At 37.0% G+C, this 9,759-nt stretch overlaps 1 long non-coding RNA gene across 3 annotated transcripts; it reads right to left on the bottom strand.

The window, feature by feature from the left end:
- Window positions 1–1,046: 1,046 nt before the first annotated feature.
- On the bottom strand, window positions 1,047–8,610 carry LINC01490 (long intergenic non-protein coding RNA 1490). Of its 3 annotated transcripts, none has more exons than NR_120468.1 (5): window positions 8,550–8,610; window positions 8,060–8,174; window positions 7,440–7,542; window positions 4,944–5,014; window positions 1,047–2,160 (listed from the first exon to the last, which is right to left on the bottom strand). It is a non-coding gene; the product is annotated as a long intergenic non-protein coding RNA 1490 (long non-coding RNA). The 3 variants fall into 3 exon arrangements; NR_120469.1 differs by having other exon boundaries at window positions 8,116–8,174; NR_120470.1 differs by lacking the exons at window positions 7,440–7,542; window positions 8,060–8,174 and having other exon boundaries at window positions 8,536–8,610.
- Between the last annotated feature and the right edge of the window lie 1,149 nt (window positions 8,611–9,759).

Below are 9,759 nucleotides of genomic sequence, written 5' to 3'. Positions count from 1 at the left end.
CCCTGAATAACCTGATTAGATCACTATTCATTAGATACATGTAACAAAATTTCTCATGTACCTCATAAAGCTATGAAAAAAAGAAAAATATGTATATATATGATTTTTAAAAATGTAGGGGTGCTATGGTTTGAATATTTGTCTCCTCCAAAACTCATGTTGAAACTTAATCCCTAATGTAACAGCATTAAGAGGTAAGGCCTTTAAGAGATGATTGGGTCGAGGGCCCTGCTTTTGCAAATGGATTAATCCATTCATGAATTGATGAATTAGTGGGTCAATGGACTAATGGTTTGTCATGTAGCTGAGTCTATTATCAAAGCCACTTTGCTTCTCCCTTATATGCTCATCACCATGTGATGCCCTACATTGAAGGCCAGGAGACTCTAAAGGGAGTCCCCACCAGCAATAAGCCCCTTACCAGATGTAGCAGGTATTCAGTTATAGCAACAAAAATAAACCAGGACAAGAGGTGACTATAAGGAAATATCTTTGGAAACTGACTCCCCAGGTAGATGAAGCTGAGCTGCAGTAATCTTGAGTTCTTCAAAGGTGCCATTGCTTCTGTAGCTGAAAGTCATGAGGGCTTTTCAGAGAGCTTTGAGATCTGCCCCTCAAGGTGTGGGGGCGCACATGGACAAGACACTAAGTTAGGGAAGACTTCTGTAGGTTCTGTACCAACAGAGCTTGAAGGAAATGTGGTGCTTGGGAAGATGATGGGAACAAATCTCCACTACATCCCAATTCCCTGTGATTATCAGGATTTACGGAAGAGGGCCTCAGCAGTGCCATTGGGTCCATGTGATAGGGCCTCAGAGTTTAAGAAGGTGCTTATGATAGGGCCTCAGAGTTTAAGAAGGTGCTTATATGGGATTGGATGTTACATAAAAGTCAAATTAATATACATATATCTAAATACTTAATTTGCCTCTGACCACTAGCAAATCATTCATAGACCAAAAACATTCTATGGGCAACACTGAGCAGGACTGATTAAGTATGCTTGGGGTAAGAAGAACTTTAGATCAAATATAAAAATGTTGCAGTTTTAAATAAATAGAATTGGGTTTAATTTTGATAATCATAAGCAAGCAGAAAATTGTAGATGATATTGTTTAAAAGGCTTGCAAGGAGAAATGCAAGAAAACACTGCCGAAAATGATGGGAAAAAAACAAACAAACAAAAAAATCCAAAACATTGTTTGTACTCCAAGATGTAGAAGTTCTTCAGTAAACTCATTACATATAATCATTCTATTATATTCTCACTTTATGTCATCCTTTTGCAAGTGCTTATATTGGAATAAAGTCCAATCATAACAATGGACCTGCTTAAAAATTGAACAATTTGAGTAACAGGCCCAATTGTTTTCTTCTCTGGCAGGTACACGATGGAATGTCACACACACAAAAATTTTCCCACAAGGCATAGTCAGTTTTTCTATTAGCAGATTTACTACACTTTCTTTGTTCATAATTTTTATTCAAAAATCTGTTCAGTGGAATTCAGAGTCTTGTCAAAATGATTGATAAACCCACACTGTTAGGTTTCCTCTAGAAAAGCCATGGAGAAGAAAAAAAGAATTTAAGAAATAATACAATAATTCCTGTGAGAAGAAAGGCTGTCTCGGACTGGCATGTGGAGGGTGAAAGGAGAAGAAAAGGCTAGCCTAGGGCAAAATACACTGGGCTGTAAAAGGATACATTAGAGAAAAGCAGTTTAATTCTGCTCTTTCTTGCTGCTTTCACACCTTAATAATGCCTAAGGGCAGCCTCCTATGCAGAGATCTGGGAGAATGCTCAGGCCCCTAGTGCAGGCATCCACAGGAGTGAGATTAAGGTGAGCTGGAGCCCTGCTCAGCTGTCAGCCTAGCCTCAAGCACTGAGACCTCCATCCTTTCCCTTCTAAACCCCCAGAGCTGGTGGATTATCATGGATGATAGGTACTTCCTCTTAATACTAACTCTCCCTGGGAGTTGAAATTAAATCAGAATAGTAAAGTTGTTTGGTGGGAAGTTTCAAATGGCAGTGATTGTAGCTGTGGTTTAATAGTGCCTGGGGCTCTTCCCTTTTCCTCTTCCTTGATATCTTGGGATCTAGCAGAATAAAGTCTGGTTTTCAGTCTTCCTGAAGTGAGAATTATGAATCCAACACTTTAACCTAGGTAAAGAAGAAAAGGAGAATTTATAATTGGGACACAGGGGTTTGTATCAGACCCCAAAGGCCTTCAGAAGAGCAGAGGGTCATCTCCACCATATGTAGCTTCTCTCCACACTTCCCTCTATGTCTGCTTCATTCTTTCTTTGCCTATACTGGGTTTTTAAATGTTGCATGTTGTGCATGGAAGCTGCCCACACTGCAGCACCTCTAAGGAGGATTACAATTTCTTTCAGTGACAATCGCAAGTTGCCGGGAAGTAGTTCTGATTGGCCCAACTTAGGTCCGGTGTCCAATCCACCGTGAGCAAGAATTTGTGGTCATGTGGTACACTGTAGTTGCCAGGGGTGGGAAGTGGTGGTGGAAGAGATGTAATAACAAAATTAATGACTTCATTGTGAGCCTGGCAGATACTGCCCTCCAACACCAAAAAAAGAGTCCAGCGTAATACTGTATTCAAGATTCAGAAAAATCCGATGAACTCTCCAAAATCAATTGTATGATTTTGCAGATTGTACTTTTCACAAATGCATCCAGCCAAGAGGGTAAATGGAAGGCTGGTTTGTTAGCCTTGGGTTGTTTATCAGTTTAAAAGAGTGTTTTGTTTTTTAGATTTTCATTGTTTATTTACCCAAAGAGATGCCTTTTGTAATTCATCTGCCCAGAGAGTGTTTGGTTTTTTTTTTTTGTTTGTTGTTTTTTTGTTTTTTGTTTTTTTTTTTCAATCCTTCTGCTGGAGGCAACTTTTTACAATTCAAACAAATGTGACATTGATGATCTAGTAATTTTTACTAAATTAATCTCTAGTTCCTAAAATATTAAGAGCTCTGAATGAACTGTTCTCTCCTACAGTGTTAGAAACACAAAGTCTTAAATTCTACATTTCTTCGGTTTATGTGGATAAAGAGAATCTCTATATCCCTCCACTCTATCTTTCCCACATTGTAGTCATTAGGGGACCAATAAACTGATTCATGTTAAGTCACACGCAGTCAGGAGTCTTGACAAATACAGATCTCTAAGATTGCTTTCTGTAGCATGTATATAATTCTTAGTGCATTATTAATGAAGTCTTAATTCTTAGAGCATGATTTAGGACAAATCACTTAATCTTGCTAGTTAGCCAAAAGAGCAAATGATCAAAGACTGAGCCCACAGTAAAGTATAATCGATTCATGGTAAATCAGCAGTGCTTGAATGCTATGTATAAAATCCATACAGGCAAGAATCTGAAATATTTCTTCGTTTAATTATTCATCCATATCCTAGACTGAAGAAGAAAGCCAGGGGACAATTAGAAGATGGGAACAAACGATTATATAGAAAATCCAGTTCCCAAAGTAGTTCTCCTAATAATTCTGTCCTTTTGAAAATTTAAATTTTGCTCTTCTGTAACAGCAGTATCAAATATTTGGTCATTAGTATATATCTCCTTCATTAAAAATTGATTAAGCCAATATGCTAATCTTTCTCATTGCCTGTACAAGAAAAACTAGTCAGTAGTATGGTTCATTGCCAGTATCAACACAAGCCACCAACTGCAGGACATCCAGCACATCAAAGTGCTTGCAGTGTTTCCTGGGTCTAAAACTAAATCAAGTCCCTTTAATACTCTTTTTTACCTCCTGAATTACAAACACGAATTCTATACTATTTAGATAAATACCTAATTTAGAACCTAGAGAAGCATACAAAACTGTAAGGGAAAGGTTTACTTTTTCCAGCCTTTTGAAGAAACTGGATAGGCCAATAAATAGAGGCCCATCATATTTATATGTTCCAGTAAAATTTGCCTATTGTACTTAAACAAGCTTTTGGATTTACAATTCTCATTTCAAATATACTTTTAGAGCCAGGATAATACTCAACATGGCATTAACAGAATTTCATTTCTTGTTTCATATTGGATAGACTACCGTAGCTGTAATAGGCTTATTGCCTGATGCATACAGCAAGTCAATACACCAAGATGCTGAGCTGGCGCAGAGAAAGAGATTCAATTGTAGGGTCACTGAACAAGGAGATGGGAAGAAGCCTCAAATCCATCTCCCTGAAGAATTTGAGGATAAAATTTTTAAGGGTTTTGGAGTGAACTGAAGTGTGGAGATTGTTGATTGGTCCCAGAGTGCACAGTGAAGTCATGGAATAGGGAGATGAATGAGGTGTATTCTGCTGATCTCACTCTTCTGTGGGGGTCTTCAAACTGGCTGCTGGAATTAGGGGTCTGAAAAACAATCTTGAGTGAAGCAGAAGTAAGGTCTTAAAGAAAAATTGCAAAGATATAAATGTATTTATTTAGAATGAGAATAGAAATCACAAGAAATGAGAAATTTTACAAAATTTAACAAAAGCCTTAAACAAAAGCCTTATGATTCTAATGACAGAGATCCTGTCTGTAGGAACAACGGGGATGCAAATTATTTCTTAAATAGTCTATGACACTCATGTCAGACATCCTCCCTATGGGAGCAGTGGGCATGCAAATCGATTCTTAAACAGCCTATGACCCTAATGTCAGAAATTCTATCTATGGAACAATGAGCATGCAAATGGCCAGTATCTAGTGCTACATGAGTTTTAACAACAAGGAAGTGGGCCAGAGTGCAGCCTGATTAATGCTTAATTATAACTATATTTCTGTCCAGAACTCAACATGCAATTCTTGTGAACTTTGTGGAGATGGTTTCAACATCACAGTATGAAAGATGTCATTATAATACATATTCCTATTAGAAATTTCTGGGCACAGAAAATAATACATGCTACCTTTGTCACAAAATACAAACCTGCTATGTAGGAATCAGACAGCAGTGGCTTGCTTATCTTTCTTGTCCAGTGTCCCTGGTACTAACAGCACCTAGATGATGATGATGATGATGATGATTGTTATTATTTTAACAAGAAATAATTGCATCTTGAGAAATACTAACATCCCATTTCAGAGCAGCCCAGGAAGCACTGTAAATTGAATGAAAACTGAGGAGAGGGGTCTTAGATGAAACTGAGGCTATTAGGTTGTTTAGATTTTGTTTTTTTTATTTTCCTTTCCAGCATGGTTGTGGTAAAGACTTGAAGAGTAGCAAGTTTAAAAGGTGTAAGCAGGTCTGCTACATTAGAGATACAGACATAATTCATTCTGGAGATGGAATGTTAAGAGGGTGGCCTTTTAGTTAATCAAATGCAAAGCCATTACACAGCCTTTATTCTTAGATGAGATTGAATCACAATTGGCAGTGTGTGTGCATGAATGTGTATGTCTGTGACCACACTTTGTAAGTATTGAGAAGGGACCCACAATTGCTAAGAGTTACAGTGGAGGTGTGTATAGGAATAAACTTTTGTTTTGGGGGGCACGAAGCTTATCTGGAGAGAGGCAGAAAATAAGGTTTTTAAGAAAATTTACGAAGATGCAAATGTATTTATTTAGAATGAGAAAAGAAATCACAAGAAATTCAAAATTTTCAGAAGTTGACAAATACAAAAATCCAGAAATACTGCACAATTGCACTTATTAACAACCTTAAAAACACCATAATACTTTTTTCTAACATATGTATTTTTGCTGTATACTCTGAATTGCCTCTTGATATGACATTGATTTTATAATATTTTCCATGGAGAGAATAGAAAGATAATTCAGTCTTTCCTCTAGATTGATCAAAAAAATTTTTTTAATTTGGTAGTTTAGAATAATTTATTATAATTTCGTTACTTATTGTTTGGGATGTCAAATTAAATTTTTAGGATTGCGGATAATTTGGGAAACTCTCTGTCAAGTTTTTGTTTGTTTGTTTTTGAGACAGAGTCCCACTCTGTTGTCCAGGCTGGAGTGCAGTGACACGATAACAGCTCAGTGCAGCCTTGATCTCCCAAGCTCAAGCGATGCTCCTACCTCAGGCCCTCATCCCAAGTAGCTGGGACTACAGGCATGCACCACAATGCCCCGCTAATTTTTGTATTTTTTGTACAAACAGGGTTTCACCATGTTGTCCAGGCTGGTCTCAAACTCCTGGGCTCAAAGGACCTGCCTGCCTTGGCATCCCAAAGTGCTGGGATTACAGGTGTGAGCCACCATGCCTAGCATATTAAGTTCTGTTCATATGAGTCATAGGTTCTGAGGGCAATTTTTGCACAATATTATCAATTTAAGAGAATTCCATGAATTATCTTGGAATTGATAATATTTTTTAAACACTTTGCTATTGATGTTCTCACTGTAGTTGGGATGTATTATGAGTTTTTACATTTTCTTCAGCCAGTATTTCTTGTTAAATCGGCAAGATATTTACATTATTTCCACTTTGTCTGTATGGAACTCTTCCTTTTGATTTCATTGTCAATCCAAGCACTTACTCATTACTCCCATTCAAACTTATCTTTTCCTTTTAATGAGTTATTCTTTTGGATATGATGTGATTTCATTGTGGTTGTTATAATTTACTTCTTGATATCAGAGTAATTTCTATTGATTGTATTATTTATTCTTGTGGTTTTTCTTTTCATATTTCATTAATTTGAATTCTTTTGGTTATATAGTAAATACATTTTAAAATGGCAAAAGAATATCCTTCACATGTATCTACATCAAGAATCTATAATTTCTCTATCGTTTTATTGAAATTTTCCAAACTGTTTTTCTAAATTACAATTAAAATGGAATATCTTCAACACAACTTCCCCTTGTTTCAAAGTCGTAATGCCCAAGGCCATTCTAAGGGAAAGTATGAAGGAAAGCCAGTCATAGTGGAAAATGGTCTTGACAGGATTACATTAAAATTTTTCCTCCTCAGCTTTATTAAGGTATAATTGACAAATGAAAATTATATTAATGTATACAACATGATAATTTGAGATACACATACATTGTATAATAATTACCACAATCAAATTAATTAACACTTTCTTCACCACACAATTACAGCCTCTCCAGTAACTGGGTATACAGGCACGGGCCACTACACCTGGCTAATTTTTAAATTTTTTTTTTTTTTTTTTTTTTTAGAAACAGGGTCTCACTATGTTGCCCAGGCTTGTCTTGAACTCCTAGACTCAGGCAATCCTCCTGCGTAGGCCTCACAAAGTACTGGGATATACACACCAGACCAGGCGTCCATACATTTTTCATGGGCTTGGAGATTTACTTAACTTGCAGGAGAGGAAAAGTAGAGAGGAGAAACTGAAGCAGTAGTTTTCTAGGCAAACCTATCTTTTTCCTTGTGGGGTGTCTGTGTGTGTGTGAAGAGCAGAAAAAAAAAAAAGGAAGAAGAAAACTTTGGTCTTACCACTCCAGCACATTTTCTCTTGCATTTCCAGGAATGATTTTTAATCTTGCTTTCCTCCTTCTTTTTCCCTAACATCAGACCTCCCAGACTACAGCTGCATACACTAGAAAGTAAGCATATTGAAATTTCCCTGTATACGTTATAATAAAAGGAACATTTGGAACCTCAGTTGGATTAAGGAAACAATAACTTAATGCGGGATCCATCTGCTGATAAAATGTGAGGTAACACACTTCTGAATGCCAATTTGAAGGATTTTTTTTTTTTAAGGTTGGGGAAAAAAAAAACCGTTTGAACACTTGAAGTTGCAAATTTTTATCTGACCACCAGGGAGCAGACAAATGCCTTGAAAGAAAGGCTCTTCAATCAAATGAAAAAGTCAAAAACCACAAAAGGAAAACAAATGAAGTGTGTTAATTACCATAAATGAAATGAAAAACGCATTTTTTATTTTGAAAATAAAAAATACCAGAAGGCATATGTTAAAACAAAACATTTCAACCATTTTCCATCTGACTATATTTAAAGGTTTTCTCATCCCTCTATCACTTGGAGGAGGCAATGTCTCCCCTCTTTGAAGGCAAACAAGTCCTACTTAATGGAAAGATGTGCCAATTTACCGTCTACTCCCTGGAATTACTTGACACACGTAAAGAAAGTAAAGGTTGCGAGCTACCATGACAATCTATGGACACAGGCTTCCTTACAAGTTCTCTTTAGTCACAGCAAAGCAAGCTGAAAAAAAGAAGTTGGTTTTCAGTTTAATTTAGTGTGTATAAATGTCAATAAAGACTCAGTTTACTCATTGGCACATTTTAAAGTAAACACCAGTCTGTCAATTATAAAATCAATACAATGGTTGCATAAAATTCTTGATTGTAGGCAATTTTAAGCAAATTATTCTTAATGAACAATACCAGCATGTTATATACTCAATTTCATTTAAAGGAATCACTTCATGTTATAAAAAACCTTCCTTGGTTTTATTTAAACACGCCTTCCCCAGAGGATAGAGTCTTCAGTAAATTTAAGTTAGAAAATTCATCTTTGAAATCTGGGTGTTAGTAACCTCCATTCCCCAGTTTTTAACTCTTACTTCTATAATCCCACCTTCATCTTCCTGGAGTGCCATATATATATGCTTGCTCCTCTCTTCCTCTTAACACCTGTTGTCACAAACACAATTGTGACATAATGACCAGCTTTCAAAGTTGCCCTTCCAAGCACTGACTGCATTTTTATAGAGCTTGAATACTACAGTGAAAGGGTAAAGGTCTAGTGCAGAACTTTAGGCTCAGAATGCGGGGTTTAAATCTCAGCTTTACTACTTAATTAACAAATCACTTAACGTCTCTATAATTTCTTTACCTCTTTTGTAAAATGGGGAAAATAGTTATGGAACCTAACTCATAGGGCTGTTGTGACCCTTAAGTGAGAGAGTGTGTCCGGAATGATATAATCTCTTAATGAATGTTAGTTGTATGTCTTCTTTACAAGGGAGGTTTGTAATTTTTTCATTTTTTAAAATAATTATAATAATTATTATTTTTGAAACAGAGTCTCACTCTGTCGCCTAGGCTGGAGTAGAGTGGTACTATCTTGGCTCACTGCAACCTTCACCTCCTGGCTTCCAGCGATTCTCCTGCCTCAGCCTCCCCAGTAGCTGGGATTACAGGCATGAGCTACCATACCTGGCAATTTTTTGTATTTTTAGTAGAGACAGGGTTTCACCATGTTGTCCAGGATGGTCTCGAACTCCTGACCTCAAGTGATCAGCCCACCTTGGCCTCCCAAAGTGCTGGGATTACAGTTGTGAGACACCGTGCACTGGCACAAGGGAGTTTTTTTTTTTTAAAGCCCCTTCTTTAGTGACTGGAATTATTAGCCCTGGAAGGTTTTCACTTAAACAGGCCAGAGGATTCTGAACTTGGCTATGATTTATTGCCCAGACAGTACTTTAAAAGAACAACTGTGCATGACAATTGTTATGCTGCGTAGCCTTGTGCAATTCATTGAATTGTTTTTACAAATGAACTTCTTAATTTGTAAAGAAAGAATATTGATTAGGCAGACAGATACCATATTTACTGTGGTCTCTAAGCTCCTTCTCAACTAAGAAGTATGAAGGTACAATCTCAGATGATGAATACACATGTCAAACCCAGTACACTCAAAACTGAACTCCTGACCACCCTGCCCCCACATTCAGGGAGTACCCGCATCTTAATTTGTGGCTGCTCCACCCTGCCCCTTGTTTAAGCAATACTTAGTGGAGTGATTCCCCTACTTCACGCGTTCTCTCACACTCACATCCAGTCTG

This window comes from Homo sapiens, chromosome 12, assembly GCF_000001405.40.
Source record: "Homo sapiens chromosome 12, GRCh38.p14 Primary Assembly".
Lineage (NCBI taxonomy): Eukaryota > Metazoa > Chordata > Mammalia > Primates > Hominidae > Homo > Homo sapiens.
This window is presented reverse-complemented; position numbering and strand designations above follow the sequence as displayed.